Raw genomic sequence first — 19958 nt, 5'->3', positions numbered from 1 at the left:
CAAATGTCAACCCTCTCCATTCTGAGAGCCATGTATCACACATGTGTGGTTTGAAAATTTGCACACTATCTACACAGATCCTGTGTCTGGGATGGTAGCTGTCATTCATTGGTCAAAGTTACCATCTTCTGTCACCTTCTTGACCACCTGGTTTTCTCAAATAATATCCTACAGTTATGGCTCACATCCCATGCATCCAAACAGATGTTTGTCCCGTTAACAGATGTTGATGTCCCATCAAACAGATGTTTGACCCCTGCATGCTCATTCTCACTCTGGATTTCATGTCTACGTGAACAGTCCCTCTTCTTGCAGTGACCCTTTCTCTAGTTCTCTGCTAGGAAAAAGAAATTTATATACATGAATGCCCAGAACAATTATCACCTCTATGAATCCTCCCTCCACTGGCCTTTCTAAAGAGCATCTGCCTGTATAGTAATGACCTGGCATGCTGATATACATGAATTAATTGTGTATGTGTCCAGCTCCCTGAACAAGGTTCAAGACGTTGATTTCGTCCCTTTTGGTAGTGAAGATAATTAGAATCTCTTGGCTGAATCATCACTCTAACTATAGTCTACTGGTAGAGAGGGGCCCACCATGGTCCAGAACTCAAGAGAAAGGCATGGTTCCAGTATATTGAGTGCTGTGGTTCAGTTACCCTTTCACACTGCTGCGCTTTAAGCAACAGCTAAGGTTGTGAATTTAAACAGCTGATATCTTGGCATGTGGCACTACCTATGCAGAGATCTGGACCTGCAAGGATATTATCACTCCAGCAGATGAGAATCCACTTGTCTGTGAGAAGCCATGGGTACACTATGTGACAGAGATGGAGAAAAGGCAGAAGCATGCTAATATGACTTTTCAGTCTTTTCCTGACCTTTTTGGGTAAAATAATACACTGGATTTTTTTTTTCGGAGAAACTAATAGAGGAGGCAGATGATATCTGAAGGGCTCAAAGATTAGCTGGAAAATAAAAAATAGTACCTATATTTGTCAGGATAGGCTGAATTATGTTACAGGAACAGCAACTCCAAATCTCAGTGGCTTAAAACAACAAAGGTTCATTTCTCTTCCATGCTATATTTCAACTGTGGGTCAATAGTGGACTCTGTTCCTTTCAATCATTGAGGAACCCAGGCTGACAAAGAAGCCACTGTATCAAGCATTTATCAGTCCACCATGCCAAGGAAAATGAGAGCTCTTCAAGGTCTCAGGCAGGATACAGAATGCTCTGGCCTGGAAATGACATACAACCCTCTGTTTGTGGCACCATGGCCAGATCTAGTCTTCATCCCACCCCTCTATAAGAAAGCCAGAAAGTGAATCCTGCCACATTGCCAAAAGTCAGAAAGCTGGAAATATTTGGTAAACAGCACTGATGACTACCACATGACCTTATTTGTACCTCAAGCTTGTAAAGTAGATCACACTTGTTACAATAAATTGAATTATATTTTACTGTTAACTGAATCAAATGCATATTGCTCATAGATGTTTCCATATCCAGTCTGAAAGATTCTAGGAAAAAAAAAACTTATCTGAACTTGAAGTTGTACAACAATTGCACAGTTCTATCTCCAAGATGTTTTGCTGAGGAAGTTAGGCTAGAACAATTCCCTGTTTGATAAATAATTTGGGAAAAATTAACCTACCTATTAACAATCTGATTTTTATATGTTAAGGATTTTCTTTTGGAGAAACAGAATCCGATGGAAAACAGAGATTCATTAGGATAACAAAAAGATATAAGTTCTAGTTCCTATCTTCTTACCTACTTGCTGTATAACTTTGAAGCCCTGTGCTTCAATATTTCTACCCAGAAATAGACAACATGATTTCATTCAATTATCAAATAGTCATTTCGCATCCACTGGATGCAGCCACTAGGTTGCATTGGTAATACAGCGATTAAGGGGGAAGATACATGATACTTGATCTCATGGATCTTCTAATCTGCTTGCTACTAGTTACAGAAATCACTTGATTCTAAATAATAGATTGTGTTAATACAGGAATAAATGTGCATAGTACAAAAATTACCAAGACTGTCACTAGTCTGTTCAATGCACCAGTATAAGAGCCCTTAAAAGGAGGTAATAGGGAAGACAAGTGACAGGAAGGCAACGAATACAAGAGGCAAATGTAAACTTTAACACTTCATATATTAGCTGAAAGAAGATCTCCATCCATCCACATCTACCAGACCCCCAGTGTTCAATGAAACACATGTCCAAGTTTCCAAAGATATATAAAGCCAAACCTGCCACATAGTGTGTGGCCCATTCATGGAGGAGAAGAGTCATATTTTCTTGGGTAGTTGATAGGACCTTAAGTTCTCCTTTGACTTCCTAGGTATTCAACTTGAAATAATTTGTGCATGTTTAAAGGATCCCATTTCCTAAATGAAAATTTACATTGCAGCAGTAATATTCAATGTTACCAAAGTGACCTCTATACATTCAGGAAAGCGGTGGCAGAATTTTATCTGTGGCTGTCTGGTCCTTTTAATATCGGTAGTACCAATATGGTTTCCAAGGACATGATGTACTCCCAGTGCCTATTGTAATTTTATTTTTTAGCTATTTTTATTGGAATGAATGAATAAACTATTAAAATACAAAGAATCCTTTTATAACTATAAAGGAAATGTGTAAAAAGCAATGAAAAGGATAAGAAATGGTTTCTAAATTGAACAGTTTGTTTTATTATTAACAATAACAATAAAGTAAGTCACACAGCTCATAAGTCCTCCCAGATGAGACATCTGTGGGATTCTCTAGTTTGAAAAGAAACTTAGCTTATAAACATGTCAGCCATGTCCCGAATAAAATGAGGATTTCGCACTACATGGAAATGAAACTATTTGTTCTTCAACATGTCCAAGATTCAGTGTTATTTTAAGATGCTTTTCCTTCCAATTAAATAGGACATGTTTTCCATCAGCTGCAGAGGGAAAAGGTACCAGTAACTTTGATGAATATAAATTGCTTAAGCTACTAAACTTAAGATCATAGGCTGTCAACCACTGATACAAAATCTAAATCCAATCCAGCTCACAGTGTAAAGAGTCTGAACCTTTGTTAGCAAAGATCATCTCCATATTCTGGTTACCACATTTGACCTTTAATGAGTTGGGACAGCTAAATGATTTTGAAGATGGGAGTGGTGTAACTAGTTATAACTGTAACTAGTTCCTAAAAATTTACCGTACTTTTTTTTTTTTTGTGGCATGAAAAAGAAAAGAAAAAAGAAAGGAGAGAGGTGTATTTAGTAGCCATTGAGATACACAACATAAAGGGAGTTAGTGAAAGCTTCTCTTTTTCCATGCCCCTGTCCCAGAAACAATGTGAGGACTTGTCCTCTGCCTCTAAGGTGATGTCAGTTTTATCAATGACAACGTGTCAATTAAATGCTCCCAACTTTGTATGCAATGCTTTTCAACTTTCACTGACTCTATTCGACTCTCTTCTCTGCTCACGGCAATAATGAATCATGATATATTACAACAAAAATTAAAGAAGCACAATACACTTCCTGAAGGCTCCACAAATGGGAAGAAGGGAATGGAAAGAATGTGGCCTTCAGCATCATACAAATCCATCACTTAAGAGCATTATGACCTCGGTCAAACTATTTCACTTCTGCCGAGGAAGTGGGGGGCATTTTCATCAACTATAATATGGAGGACAATAGTTTTTCACAGAGTTGTGGCGGATAGTATAAACATAATATATTTTGAAGCACCTAGCACAGGGTAATTTTTAAATTTTTTGGTTTCTTACTTAGAATATTAAATATACAGAGAATTATTTTTTTTCTGATGTCTTATGCAACCTCTTTTTTCATATTCAGGGCCAATGGCTACCCTAAAGTAAAATGATTCATTCATGACAGAAAAAAGGAGACTTTGCCCATAAACTTCTCCTAAACTATTATAGAAATGATGCTTTGAGGATCTCATCTTCATTCTAAACGTAGCAGAGTGGCTTGAAGGGTTAAGGTGAGCAGGGAAGCCGAGCAGATGGGGCTTTGAGTTTCTCTCCCTACTTCAACCAAAGCAGCTGCACTGTGTTCTGTTTTACATTGACCATGCATAAATGTGGGATTTGGGAAATTCACCAATGATGTCCTACTTCTTTATTGTCTTGTTAGTGCCACACAGGACCTGACTAAAATCCTGTGAAGAGAGGAGGGGTGTCCCCAGCTGTTCTCACTGTGCATAATCCTGGAAGAAGTTCATGGTAAGAGATTCACAGGTAAATCTGGGGCCATAGTTTGACTCAGACTCCTCATTTTATAGAGGAGAAAATTGAGGCATAGGGAGGTTAATTAACTTGCCCAAGTGAGCTAATTAAATCATTTGAGAGCATGTTGAAATGGGCAAATTCCTAGCAACTTGGCAAGTGGAGGTTCCTGTCATAATAACTGGATATGAAAAGGAAGGGCGATCACATTTCATAATTATGGTAGAGATGACTTGGGTAGAACAGATAATATATTGGGATTTTACATCATATTTTTTTTTTTTTACTTTTTTTTTTTTTATACTTTAAGTTTTAGGGTACATGTGCACATTGTGCAGGTTAGTTACATATGTATACATGTGCCATGCTGGTGCGCTGCACCCACTAACTCGTCATCTAGCATTAGGGATCTCTCCCAATGCTATCCCTCCCCTCTCCCCGCACCCCACCACAGTCCCCAGAGTGTGATATTCCCCTTCCTGTGTCCATGTGATCTCATTGTTCAATTCCCACCTATGACTGAGAATATGCGGTGTTTGGTTTTTTGTTCTTGCGATAGTTTACTGAGAATGATGATTTCCAGTTTCATCCATGTCCCTACAAAGGACATGAACTCATCCTTTTTTATGGCTGCATAGTATTCCATGGTGTATATGTGCCACATTTTCTTAATCCAGTCTATCATTGTTGGACATTTGGGTTGGTTCCAAGTCTTTGCTATTGTGAATTACATCATATTTTATCTGGAAAATCATAGTGAGATTTTGTTGTTGTTGTTGTTTGTGAGACAGAGTCTCAGTCTGTCACCCAGGCTGGAGTGCAGTGACGCAATCTCAGCTCACTGCAACCTCCACGTCCCAGGCTCAAGTGATTCTCCTGCCTCAGCCTCCCAAGTAGCTGGGATTACAGGAGTGTACCACTGCACTGACTAATTTTTGTATTTTTAGTAGAGATGAGTTTCACCACGTTGGCCAGGCTATTCTCAAATTTCTGACCTCAAATTATCTGCCCTCCTCGGCCTCCCAAAGTGCTGGGATTACAGGCATAAGCCACCATGCCTGGCCCATACTGATATATTTTAACTCAAAAATCTTCTTTGACACTCTTTATTACTGTTTTATTAGAGTGTTCTCAAACTTTCTTATTCATGAAACACTCAGGCCACTCTTGAAGGCAACAATTGTACATTGTCCTTTGCCAATGCCCATTTTCTAGTTGCCAACAAAATCCATCTACTGCCCCTAAAATCACCAACCAAGGATAATACGGTTTGACCATGCCTACCTCTCTGGCACTGGTTGCTGGGCATGTGGGATGGTGTGGGTTTGGGGAGGCAACGGAGAGAAATTGTTAAACCAGTAGAAAAGGGAGAGGGGTTCCCACTAGAATCCCACGGGCTCTAGGCCAAGGACAGAGCTGGGTGTTCAGCTCCTCCCCTGCTCTGGATTCCAAGGCGAAGTCAGCCTCTGTGACTCTGAACTCTTAAGTTTTACTGGCCTTCACCTTCTTACCTGGCCATATCCTTCATAATCATTGACTTCTTCCCCTTTGTGTCCTACCAGCCGCTCAGAATCTGACCCAAAGCTATGCTTTTCTCCTAGGCCCTGGTCTGGTTCGATCACCTGGCACTTACTTGTGCCCTTAATTCTAAACAGGATATTTCACTTAGTTCTTTAGACAGCCTTTTGATGCAAAGTGTCAAAATGTAAAAATTACTATTTATCACTGATAAATGTGTACAACTGATATCCCTGACCTCTAGGGACCATACCCAAGACCTAGAGATGGGAAACAGCAATGGGATGAAGATCTCTCTTTACCTCCTTGATCATGGGGAAACAAAACAAAACATAGACTTGCTACTACCTCTTTTTTTGTTTTGGTACACATCAAAATATCTCAGTCAAAACCATATTCAAAATGTTGCCTGGCTCAGGGTAAGCACCTCCTCAGCAGAACCCAAATACGGAATCTAAAAACAAATCAGAAAGCCCCTGGCACTACTTTACTTCTAAGTTTACTACACATTCTCCAAATATCACACAGTCCTCCATTCCATATGCATGTCCCTAGATTAGCAATCTTGCAATTTATAGTATACGAAGTTTCCAACCTCCTTTATTCACCTTCATCATTCCTCTAGCCCTTCCCTGCATGCTCTCTACCCACAATCCCTCTGCTCAGGGCGTGCAGACCCAGACAGTCAACCGGAGAGGATGGATGTCTCTTCCAGACAAACAACCAGTGCTCTAAGGATGCCTCATCTTATGGTCTGCAAATCCAGGAGCAGCAGTCACCATTATTTTATTTGAATCTCTGCCACAAAATAATAAGAGAGACAATGGGACCTCATCCCTATCCTATGGGACCTCAGTTAACAATAGCTAAATTGGACGGCCCATAATTATGATGATTAGCAATTCCTGAGGGTGAAAGTGATCTTAGAGAGAATCTAAGCCAACATTTCAACTCATATTTAAACCTGTTGTTTAATATTACCATACATTTGTCTTCTAATGTAAATTTGACACTTTCTACAGTAAAAAAATTCTGTCTTTTTGCAAAGTTTTTCTATATTTTGTGCCAAGAAATATAGGCATACCTTGGAGATATTACAAGTTTGGCTCAGACCATTGCAAAAAAAGCAAATATCACAATAAAGCAAGTATTGTAATAAAGTGAATATCAAAATAAAATAAGTCACATGAATTTTGTGGTTTCCAGTGCATATAATAGTTATGTTTACACTATATTGAACATTATTAAGTGTGCAATAGCATTACGTCTAAAAAATACATCTTAATTTAAAAATATTTTATTGCTAAAAAATGCTAACAATCATCTGTTCCATCAGCACATCATAACCTTTTTACTGGTGGAGGGTCTTGCCTTGATGTTGATGGCTGCTGACTGATCAAAGCGGTGGCTGCTGAAAATTGGAGTGGCTGTGGCAATTTCCTCAAATAAGAGAACAATGAAGTTTACTGCATTGATTGACTCTTCCTTTCACAAAAGATTTCTCTGTTACATGCGATACTATTTGATAGCATTTTACCCACAGTAGAATTTTCAAAATTGGCATCAATTCCCTCAAATTTTGCCACTGCTCTATTAACTAAATTTATGAAATATTTTAAATCCTTTGCTGTCGATTCAGTAATGTTCACAGGATCTTCACCAGGAATAGATTCCATCTCAATAAATTGCTTTCTTTGCTCATCCATAAGAAGCAACTTCTCATCCATTCACGTTTGACCATAAGATTGCAGAAATTCAGTGACATCTTCAGGCTCCACTTCTAATTTTAATCCTCTGTTATTTCCACCACATCTGCAGTTACTTCCTCTACTGAGGTCTTGAGCCCCTCAAAGTCATCCATGCATGCTGGTATCAAATTATTCCAAACCCTGATTAATATTGGTATTTCAACCTCCTCCTATGAATCACGAATGTTCTTAATGGCATATAGAATGGTGAATCCTTTCCAGAAGGTTTTTAATTTCTTTTGCCCAGATCCATCGGAGGAATCACTATTTATGGCAGCCACAACCTTATGAAATGTATAAAAATTGCTCCTTGATCCATGGGCTGCACAATGGATGCTGTGTCAGTAGGCATGAAAGCAATATTAATTTCCCTACACATCTCCATCAGCGCTCTTGGGTAATGAGGTACATTGTCAATGAGAAATAATATTTTAAAATAATTTTTTTTTCTGAGCACTAGGTCTCGACAGTGGTCTTAAAATATTCAGTAAACCATGCTGTAAACAGACGCAGTGTAATCCAGGCTTTGTTGTTCCATGTACGGAGCACAGGCAAGGTAGATTTGACATAATTCCTAAGGGCCCTAAGATTTGCAGAATTGTCAAGGAGCATTGGCTCCACCTTAAAGTAACCAGCTACATTAGCCCCGACAAAGGAGTCAGCCTGTCCTTTGAGCTTTGAAGCCAGGAACTGACTTCTCTCTAGCTTTGACAGTCCAGATGATATCTTCTTCCAACAGAAGGCTACTTTGAATACCGTAATAATCTGTTGTTTAGTGTAGCTACCTTCATCAATTATCTTAGCTAGATCTTCTGGATAACTTGCTGCAGCTTCTACATCAGCACCTGCTACTTCATTTTGCACTTTTATGTTATGAAGATGGCTTCTTTCCTTTACTTCCTTCCTTTACATTCACAATTTGGCTGTTTGGCATAAAAGGCCTATGTTTTGGCCCATACTGGCTTTCTACATGCTTTGTTCACTAAGCTCAATCATTTCTAGCTTTTGATTTAAAATGAAAAATGTGTGGCTATTCCTTTCACTTGAACACTTCAAGGCCAATATAGGGTTATTAATTAACCAAATATTAATATTATCGTCTTTCAGGAAATAGGAAGGCCCAATGAGAGGGAGAGAGATGGGGAACAGCTGATCACTAGAGCTGTCAGAACACATATTTATTAAGTTCGGCATCTTCTAGGAGTGCAGTTCATAGTGCCTCAGAATAATTACTACAGTAACATCAAAAATCACTAAACACAAATCACCATAACAGATATACTAATGATGACAAAGTTTGAAATATTGGGAGAAATACCAAAACGTGACACAGAGACACAAAGTGAGCATATGTTCAAACATTGGCACCAGTAGATTTGCTCAACACAAGGCTGCCACAAAACTTCAATGTGTTAAAAAAGCAATATCTGCACACTGTAATTAAGTGAAGTACAATGAAATGAGGCATTCCTTGTAGTTAGAAATGAGCAAAGATCAAAAGAATATATCCAAAATGCCTGAAATACATTAGAGGATCTAAAATGCATGTAACATTAACAAATTTACCATTTTGTTATTTGGTTTAAGTTTTCACTAACTTAAGAAATATATTTATGGAGATATTAACATTACTATAACACAATTAAGAGTAAATTATCTGGCCTTACTTATGTCTACTTTTGCTCTCCCTATATATCTGTTATGGCCTGAATGTGTTCCCCAAAATTAATGTGCTGGAAATTTAATTTAATCACCAATGCAACAACATTGGGAGGTGGGGCCTAATGGGATGTGTTTACATATTGAGGGCTCTGCCTTCATTAATGGATTAAAGCCACTATAAAAAGGGCTTCTGGAATCCGTTTGCTCTCTTCTGGTCCTTTACCATGTGAGGACTTGGCATTCCTACCCTCTAGAATGGCAGGGAGCATCTTGGAAGGCTGATCAAGGCAGCATCTTGGAAGCAGAGAAACTGGCCCTAAGATGCTGGTGCCTTAATCTTTGACTTCTCAGCCTCCAGACTCTGAGAGAATAAATTTCTGTTCTTTATAAATTACCCAGTCTCATGCATTGTTAAAGTAGCAGAAAATAGATAAAGATAATATTTTAAAGTGGAATTATAAGAAGAAAAAGGAGGTACATAAGAAAATATTGTCTTGGCTCACAGTCTTAAGGATACACACACAAGCACACACACACACACACATATATGTACATATTTAAACAATACTACAAGATTACTAAACAGAGTGACAAGCTGCTATGACACCAATTACTGGTTTTGTATCAGTTTAGAAAAAATTTTATTTAGATTATTTTAATTAGATCATACTTTGAAAATGTGCTACATGTTGATGTATAATTATATATTTATTTGTACAAAACAGAATTATTTCCTAGCAAGCAAAAATATCAGATATGAGTTTTCTCTGCAAATGTATGCATATTACTCCAGATTCTAAGGAAAATGGCAAGCAAATGACAGATAAAAACAAAGAAGAAAAAAATAACATTTGTTAAGTGCTTTATAGCCTTCAAACTGTTTTCAGATTCATTACCTCAAATTCCACAATAGTAGATGAAATTCATTCAAAGAATAACATATCCTGTAATTTACATGTTCCCTAGTGACACTATTTTAAGATTAACCAGGATTATTGCAGTATTATTAAATATGATGGTATTAAACCTTGAACCTAGAGAAATGCTTAAAGCAAAGAATCAAATGAAATGCTTAAATCATAATCATTAATTAATATTGTTTATAGTTCTTTATTAAGATTAATCACTCTTGAAACCTAAAACTCTAATCGTTAGAAATGTGACCATGGGAAAGTTAGAATTCTGTATGTCACCTCTTCAATTATAAAACACAGATAACCCCTTACCTCCTGTAGATAATGGACCAGGAGAGTTAATACTTTGAGGTCCTCTCTGCCTAAAAATTATACTAATCTATAGTTTTATGAATACATAACAAAACTAGTGAACACAGAGTGATATAAGACCTTCAGGAAGTTTATTTCGCATGCAGCGCACCAGCATGGCACATGTATACATATGTAACTAACCTGCACAATGTGCACATGTACCCTAAAACTTAAAAGTATAATTAAAAAAAAAAAAAGAGAATTTTCTTAGAAATACAAAAGGAGGGCTGGGCGCAGTGACTCACACCTGTAATCTCAGCACTTTGGGAGGCCGAGGCGGGCAGATCACTTGAGGTCAGGAGTTTGAGACCAGCCTGGCCAATTGGTGAAACCCTGTCTCTACTAAAAATACAAAAATTAGCCGGGCATGGTGGCACACGCCTGTAATTCCAGCTACTCAGAAGGCTGAGGCAGGAGAATCGCCTGAGCCTGGGAGGCGGAGGTTGCCATGAGCTGTGATTGCACCACTGCACTCCAGTTTAGGCGGCAGAGTGAGACTCTGTCTGGAAAAAAAAAAAAAAAACAGAAAGAAAGAAGAAAAAGAAATATAAAAGGAGGATATAAATATATCTGTTTAAAAGATATCCATTTTACTGTTGTCTCATACAAGTGATTTATATAAGTGAAATATGAGTGAAAATGAAAATTCCATTATGTATTGAAAAATTTTAAAGCAAGCTTTAAAAGGATTGATGATTTCATATGGTAGCTATTTTCATTTAAACACAATAAAAGGAAAATGGGATAAGTCATATGACATCTTACCAATCATGTTAATTAAAACATCACTTCCTCTTTCACCTCCAACTGCTTTGCCATGGCAATGACAAATAAACACTAAATTGAATAAACATTTAATGTGTCAACTCATGTTAAATGCAAATTTAACTGCTTTAGGTACACACACACATCACTTTTATGAATTTTTAATTTCTACATCATTTTTCTATTATATGTGTTGTATATATTTATATATCTATCATAAATATGAAGACATGTTTAGACACAAGAATTTTAGAATTATTTATTTTTCAAAATAGCCTGGTTACAATAACTTAACATATTGAGAAAATAAACTTGGATCTACTTGTAAGTCTGTCTTTGTTTATCATTCAACTTTACTGATGTGCAATTTATATACAGTAAAATTCACCCCTTTTTGTTCACAGTTCTCTGAGTTTTGACAAATGTATAGTCATGTAACCACTACTACCATCAAGATACACACTATTTTCATCATGTCCCCCAAAAAATCTGTTGTGTCTCTTTATAGTTAATCCCTGCCTTTCACTGCCAGCTCCTGGCAACTCCTGAGCCTGTTTTCTGTCTCTATAATTTTGCCATTTCTAGAACGTCATACAAATGGAATATACAGTATATAGCTCTTCACCTCTGGCTTCTTTCACTTAGCATAATACATTTGTGATTCATCCATGTTGTTACATATATCTGTAGTTCTGTTACTTTTCAAATTTGTAAGTGGTATTCCATTGATTGGATGTATTCCATTATTTGTTTACTCATTTACCAGTTAAAAGACATTTAGGCTATTTCCTACTTGTAAGTCTTTCTAAACATGGCAGATCATAAGGCAGCACAGTATTGTGGTTAAAAGCTTAGGTTTTTGAGCTAGACAGATATGAGTTCCAATCTCAGGTCCAATATCAACTTGTACCTTTGAGCAAATTACTTATATTCTTCGAGTTAGAGTATTGTTGTGAAGATTAAACTAGTATGTGGCCTGTAAATTGGTAAGTGTCTGCTGTTATTATTACTACTGTCCCTAGTGCTCAAACTCTGCTCTACTTCCAGTCTTGAAACTAATCCCAAATTTAACACTGTCAATCACCTCAGAGCTTTTACTATATTCCTTACTTAAAACACCTCACCCCTTCTCTCTGCTTCCCTTCTGCAAGACCCAAGTTCCTCTTCCTCCAGGAGGACTTCTCTAACTCACAGTTCACATTTAGATTGCCATTCTGCACATTCTTAGAGCATGCATCATCCAGTCTGGCAGCCACTACTTACATGTGGCTTTATACATTTAAATTAATTACAGTTAAATAAAATTTAAATCCAGTTCCTCAGTCACAGAAGCCACACTTCAAGTGCTCAAGCAAAACGGCTAGTGGCTGCCATATTGGGCAATGAGGATATAGAATATTTTAATCATCATAGTGATTTCCATTTTAAGTTCTAAGTTAAAAACATTGCCTAACACTTAAAACTATATAATTCTATATAGAACAGGAAAAACTAATAATTAGCAGACATCGACTGAGCTCCTATTCTGTGCAAGACATTCTACCTTAAGCAATGATACAGCATCTTTTAGGGGATCTTGAACCACCTGGACAATTATATTAAAAAAATTTAAAAGAAGAAATGATTACCAAGGTCTGGCAGGTAAAAGAAAAAAAATAATAAGTCATTGAAATTTAGAAGTTGGCCAGGCACAGTGGCTCTCACCTGTAACCCTAGCACATTGGAGGCCAAGACAGATGGATTGCTTGAGCCCAGGAGTTCAAGACCAGCCTGGGCAACGTGACAAAACCCTCATCTCTACAAAAAATACAAAAATCAGCCAGGTGTGGTGGTGCACACCTGTAATCCCAGGTACTTGAGAGGCTGAGGTAAGAGAATCACCAGAACCTGGGAGGTCGGGACCACAGTGAGATATAATCACACCAATACACTCTAGCCGGGGTGCCAGAGTGAGATCCCGTCTCAAAAAACAAAACAAAAAAGTTTAGAGGCATGTGTGGTGGCTCACGCCTGAAATCCCAACACTTTAGGAGGCCAAGTGGGGTAAGATGGGTTGAGCCTAAGAGTTCAACACCAGCCAGGGAAACATATCAAGATCTCGCCTCTACAAAAAATAAAGTAATTGTCAGGGAGGCTGAAGCAGGAGGATCCACTTTGTCAAAAGATCTACAGAATCACAAAACGATGTTCTTCCTAGATTTGTCTCAAGCTAAAGGTGTCTCAAGGAAAAAGTAAGCTTTTAAAGTCCAAACCTTGAATGAGAAAATAATTGTGTTTTCAGAGAAGAAGGCAAAACAAAGACGACAACAACGAAACCTGACTGCTGGAAGACTCATTTCAGAATATACCTTAAAAAGCCACTATATGTCTCATGAATCAATCCAGATACTATATCACCCACCCCTCTGGCACAAGGTTATGACTCACTGTCTGAAACCACAATGCTTATAGAATCCTCAAACGTTCAAGGATAACTACATTTGGTTCAAGTCAGCAATAGAAAGGGAGCTCATTAAGAATTCCCCATTTTCCCCACTACAGTCCCTTACCATTAGAATCCACCTACAACTGCCAGAGCTGATGGGATCATTCCAATTTCATCTTCTCAAGGAGGATTCTGAGAACTATTGAAGGGTGAGTTTAAAGGTGAATCATCAAAGCCAGTTTAAATGTTTTGAAAAGATTAAGGCATGAAATTATCATTTACAATGCACTTGCCTTAGAAGATCCTGGTTTTCTACTTTTCCATTTACACAAGAATGTCAGGAGATCCTCCTGAGAGGAAGCAGAATGTTAAGATACCCTGGGAAGTCAGAGTCATTACTATCACTCCCAAGGCAGCTATAATGGCAGGAGAAAAGTATCCAGTGTAAATAGTTCGCCACAGTGGAGCCTTATGTTACTGTATATACAACATGGGATTTGGAACAATATCCATATGCCAATCCCAGCTCTATCACCATCTAGCTCTATCACCTCATTTAATTCCTTAGTTTCTCCTGTCATCAGTTTATTCATCTGTAAACTGGGGTAACACTGTCCTTAATTACTTTGATGGAGTGTTGTGATGGTCAAATGAGATAATGGCTGGGAAAACACTTTGCAATCTGTAGATCACTATGCACATGGGAACTATTATCTGGTCTTTTCCCCTAAAACACTGCTCCTTGGAGTTCACTTAGCCTGGGATTTTCCAACTTCACTTCTAAAAGAACATTTTTGGAGCTACTCAAATGAAGACTTAGACAAAATATGAGTATCTGTTTTCTGCTTTTTTTCTGATCCAAGGAACTTTCTTCCTTTCACAGATTTAGCTCTTTATGTCATTAACTAAATTTAAATCATGCCTAAAGACTTACTTGTTTGGCAGCACAGTTTCATATCCTGTTTGGTTTGATTTTTAAAATTCTTTTGTAAAGCACTCCAAGATGTTTGCATGAAGATCACTCAACAAATGGAAGCCTCTCTCGAATAATACACACACAAGGACACACCCACATCAATGAGAAGAAACATAATACAGACTTTTGTTAACTTGATAAAACAAGTGCTCAAAAAACAATTCCTAAAATTACATTCGACGCCACACTGTATGACCTTTTCTTGACTGAGAGAGCCTTAACCCTGAACTGACTTGGAAAGCTAAGGTAATCTGGTAGAATTCAACTCCACCAACTTATATAGAGAGATGTAAGTGTATGCTTCAACATAGACACAATATTTTCCATGAAGCAGGCATCCTGGCAAGTAAAAATTCCCTCGTGTTTCAGCATGTATCGAGAGACTAACCATCAGATCCTGAACTGGGTTACATAAGCACAATACCCTTATTGTTAGCAGCTGTGTATTGGTCAGCATTGCACAACTGACCAGGTGCATGGCAGGATGGAGTTTTGTCTTTATCCAAAGATTCAGAGTAGATGGGCTCAGGACTTGCTCTATGATGGCAATATATTAATTCCAAGCCATCAGGATTATTATAACCCATAAGATACTTTGCCAATTTATGCATATGTGGTAAAAATTAAGGCATGTAGTAGATGCCAAAAGAGCCATTGGTTTAATGTGGAAACCTTCTTTTCAATTCTGAATGTTTAAGAATTCATTTTAAATGTAATTGTCTGGATGTGAAGGTAAAATAATTGACTCAATGACACTAAATATCATCATACAATTCCAGGGAAGACATATTTAAACTACCAACGGAAAGGATATGTGATTTTCAATGATCACTTTAGGATAAAGGTATAACACTAAAAGTATTCATTAGAAAAGCCAAGGAAAGATCAATCCATACAGGAAAGAAGAGTTTCTAAAATTGAAAAAAAAAATTGAAAAATCTATCTCCCTCTATACTCAAGAAAAAACTTCAATCACTTGAAATTAACAATGAAGATTCTGACTTTTATATTGCCTTATGACAGGATTTCAAAGGCTGTTTTCTCACCTTTGCTCTTTACTTGAGTTTAAATACTTTAAAGTATATTTTCCTTTACGGATGTACCACCCCATTCAATTCATTTGTTGATTTCAAAATGAAATCAACTAGCTTCCAATACCAGCTAGTTGTTATTTAAGGGTACTGTGTTGCAAGGCAAATTATTGAGCTGCTAGTTTTTGTGTTCTGTATTTTCACAGTCAGTTTTTGCTATTACGCTGATTTAATTTTTAAGAAATGTTTACTTATACATAAAACACAACTGATCCAAAATTGCTTATGAAAATAAATGACAATATTTAGGATATACTAATAATACCAGCATTACTATTATAGAAAATGCCCTGTATTGACATTATTAAACCACTTTTCTAAACTTTTTGGATACAGAGCTAATATATACTGACTATGTGCTCTGTGACGGCCATGGAGTTAAGGGCCCACCCAATGAGGAAGCTACGAAGAGTTTCCTTAATGTATAGATGAGGAAGTTGAAGCAAAGTCATTAGAGAAAGCTGAAGTTATCGACGCCAGAGCACTTGCTCTGCACCAGCAACCTAATGATGAGGATGTTTGAAGCTGCAATTAACAGAGGATGAGGAGGACTTCTGCTCCAGCATACGAAGAAAGGAACTCCATTTCCAAGTTTGGGCCACAAGCTTACCTTCAGTACAGGTAAAAATAGTGTCTACAAATAGAAGATTATCAAATACCCAAATTATGAATTATGTTTATGGGACTTTTATTAATGAAAAATATTCAACTCAAGACCCTGTGCCTCAATTATAATAGTGTAGTGGCAAAATATTGACTCATTTCAGTTCTGCCTGTGAAATAATAATGGAATTCAAATATCTCATTGTTGAGAGACACTAAAACCAGTACACAATTTGTTAATATGCCCTCAGTTAGGAAATCACGTACAGATTATACCAACAAAATATGCACTTCACCGTACTGCAAGTAACACCATTTTGAAGGGGATGGACTCCACATTCAGACTCTATTTTAGCTTGTAATCTGTGATGACCTTATAGAAAATGGAATGGTTTTGTATTTCTTTATTGTTTCTGAAAGTAATCTCTCTCGGTGACTTTTCCTTATTATTGTTATAGAGAGCGATGTCTGTTTGTCCAGAACTGTAATTTACAGTAAGTTCTGGGTGAGATTGTGCATGTCCCTGTTCAATACTTTCAGTACCAAAGTGGAAAGAAGAAAGATTATATATTTCCTTCCTTGTTTTATTTTATGTTTCCTTTCTCTGTTTTATTTCCTCAGATTAGTCATGCAGGAGCAGGGACATTTATTTCTGTGCCCAATAGTCTCTTCTATTTAATTTCTTAGGCCAGTTTTTACAAATAAAGAAGTGACTTGGACTCCTCGAGATTCTCTCTGGTCACTTTCCAGGTGGACTTTTCTTTCCCGGCTGTAAATGGCAAAATGAGCAGAGCCTCCATAAATTAGGCACTATTTGTACTACATCTTGCAGAAATTATTTAAATATTCTAGCCTATGGGTGTTCCTATTTTTTATTTCCTCTGCAAATGGTCTTTGATAGATATCAGGGGAAAAATATACACACATCATTTGGAAGATAAGGTGTTAAATATGCATGACAAAATCACAATCTTGAAAGAAAAATAAAGTAACCCTCCACAATTACGCCATGTGGCTTCCTTCATGATTAATGTATTTTAGGGAAAAATTAATTTCCACATCTTTCCCCAAGAAAACAATAAAAACTAGAACAACAAGTTACTGTACCTCTTCTGCCTTTAGTTTTGAAAGTAAATCAAGGTATGTCAAGTTTGCAGATTTTCTGGAAACCCTGAAATGGAAAGTACTCCTTAGCTGGCTAACTACCTCCTGGCTTACATGTCACTTAGGTGTCATATTTCCTCATCTAAATTATGTTCCTCACATCAGTGTCTCATAGTACCATTTTCATTCTTGTATAACCATACCTGCAATTATAGAGTTTTTAATTTCCTACCTCCACAAGTTAATTGTAAACTGTTTTTCTTAAATTTTATTTTAACCATTATACCCAGTGCCTATCACAGTACCTGGTACATAATACACACTCAATAAATATGTATCGAATTAATGATTAAATAAACAGCGAAGCACACAACAGGGATTTTTACTGCTTAATGAAGTAAAATACAGTGTCATAATGTCTTGCTAGTGCATCTTCACACTAATCTACAATTACAGTCATGTGTTGCTTAACAACAGGAATTCTTTCTGAAAAATGCGTTGTTAGGCATTTCATCATTTTGCAAACATCATAGACTGCACTTACACAAATCTATTAATAGATGACATAGCCTACTATACACCTAGGCTATATGGTATAGCCTGTTCTTAGGCTACAAACCTATACATGTCACTGTACTGAATACGGTAGGCAATTGTAACAAAATGGTATTTGTGTATCTAAACATAAAAAAGTACAGTAAAAACTTAGTTGTAATCTCATAGAACCACCGTCCATGTGGTCTGTCATTGACCAAAACATCATACATGGCACATGACTGCACATATTAATCAAGAAATGTCCTGTGCCTTTCTTTTTACCCACCACAATGCCTCTGCTTTGTGAAGTCATGATGGTCTAATTTCTTACTGAGGCAAGGCCAAATACACCACCTGGGATATTCTGAAGTTATGGTTTGACTTTTCACAGGATGGCCTGGGTTTTGGGAGATGCAATGTTAAATATGTGTGATAAAATGAAAGCAATTCAAAAGACAATACAGCTAGGTAGATGTTATACCTAAGCAAGCTACAAGTCTTCTAGCACTGTTCTTAAACCTCCTTCACGAATAACACAAATAGTTTAAATGCTAATAGGACATATTTTAAATATATTTTCTAAGTATTATAGAATGGTCTCTACCTTTCAGCAAACTATCATTTCATATGAAAGAGATAGACTAATTGATCAAGAGATAGATAAATGTATGTATGATATATATGTACTATATACACACAGTATTATATACTATGTGCATATTCTGTGTATTGTATGTTGAAAAATATACCTTGTTCACGCTCATGTTTCACTCACGTAATGGATTTCTCTTTATAATTTTGCATTGCAAAAACAAAGCTCTAGATGAAACATTTCCAGTGACTTAATCATTAGAGACATAATAAAACTAGATATCTAGGCAAAAGTTAAGGTTTCTTTCCTCACAGTGTCTATTTGGCAATGCAGATTGTTTCATATCACTGGATAAGTTACTTTACAGTTATCTCTTTAATCTTAGAATAAACCTGACCTGATAGGTGAATTATTTCAGGAGGAAAGGCAAGAGGAAGAAATGCTGACTCTACCTAATCCCTAAACCATCCTACTCTGCTCCAGGTGGGACTCCTTAAGAACAGTACAGGGATTATGTGCTTTGGCCTCACATTGGGTATGTCAGCTAAGGTCCTCAAGACTCTGCAATGTCATTCACGTGGCCTGAAATGCTCCAGTCCTGACCTGTCCAACAAAGTTCCTCCTTCATTTAAATTTCTGCTTTGAGCATTACACTGTCTCCTGACTAAAGCCCTCTGGAATCTAGACACCCACGTGCTACGACACCCCCACACCATTTATGTCTGTTTCCATAAAAATAGATGTGACTTGTTTACATGTTTTCTCTGTGTTCCTGGGTCCTTTCATGTGTCTGTCTGGCTGAAATGAAAGACTGCAGAGTATTTCCTGCAACCCAACCACAGCAGGAAGACTCAGCTCTGTCCTTGGACCACCAGGGGGATTCCATCGTGGGCCTGACGTGTGGGGGTGAAAGCTGCATTGTCTCCCAGCTTTTCAATGGCCCCAAGTTGCCAGTGAAAACAGAAGAAATTCACAAAGCCCAGAAACCATGGCTCAGGTTGTCATAAGGCAGGGTTGAAATGTTACTTCAGTTTCTATAGATCACTAAGTTCATTTAACCATGGAAACATGATGCTGGTAACTGCATGAAAAGGTGAGGTGTCAGTGGCGGTCTTCAAGTGGTGAAATGTGTCCCCTCGATTGATTTCACCATTTACTTTTCTGAGGTTCTAATGGCAGATCACAAAAAGTTATTTAAAAAAAAAAAGAAGTAGTCCACTAGACAGCAAGCTCTATGAGGTCAGAAAGGATTACTATTTTGTCTGTTGTTGTCATTATTGTTGTTGTTCATTATTGTACTGTCCCTGGAGCCAAGCACGGTACTCAATACATTGCAGGCATGAATTAACATTTATTGGGTGCTTACATGTTCTAGACACTTCTGAGAACTGGTAATACTGTGATAAATAAGACAAAGC

General features: G+C 37.3%; 1 protein-coding gene and 1 long non-coding RNA gene across 19 annotated transcripts in view; one reads left to right on the top strand and one right to left on the bottom strand.

Moving 5' to 3' along the window:
• Nucleotides 1-19958, bottom strand: part of SUGCT (succinyl-CoA:glutarate-CoA transferase) — a 903812-nt gene that overhangs the window by 439943 nt on the left and 443911 nt on the right. The gene's annotated exons all lie outside the window — the stretch shown is intronic.
• LOC105375244 (uncharacterized) overlaps nt 3665-19958 on the top strand; it is a 29984-nt gene continuing 13690 nt past the window's right edge. Inside the window, exons 1-3 of the long non-coding RNA XR_007060293.1 lie at nt 3665-3761; nt 3860-4007; nt 4160-4248. This is a non-coding gene — a long non-coding RNA (uncharacterized LOC105375244). The remainder of the gene's footprint in view (nt 3762-3859; nt 4008-4159; nt 4249-19958) is intronic.

This window comes from Homo sapiens, chromosome 7, assembly GCF_000001405.40.
Source record: "Homo sapiens chromosome 7, GRCh38.p14 Primary Assembly".
NCBI classification, from domain to species: Eukaryota; Metazoa; Chordata; class Mammalia; order Primates; family Hominidae; genus Homo; species Homo sapiens.
The sequence above is the reverse complement of the archived record's forward strand: the minus strand, read 5'-3'. Positions and strand labels throughout refer to the sequence as shown.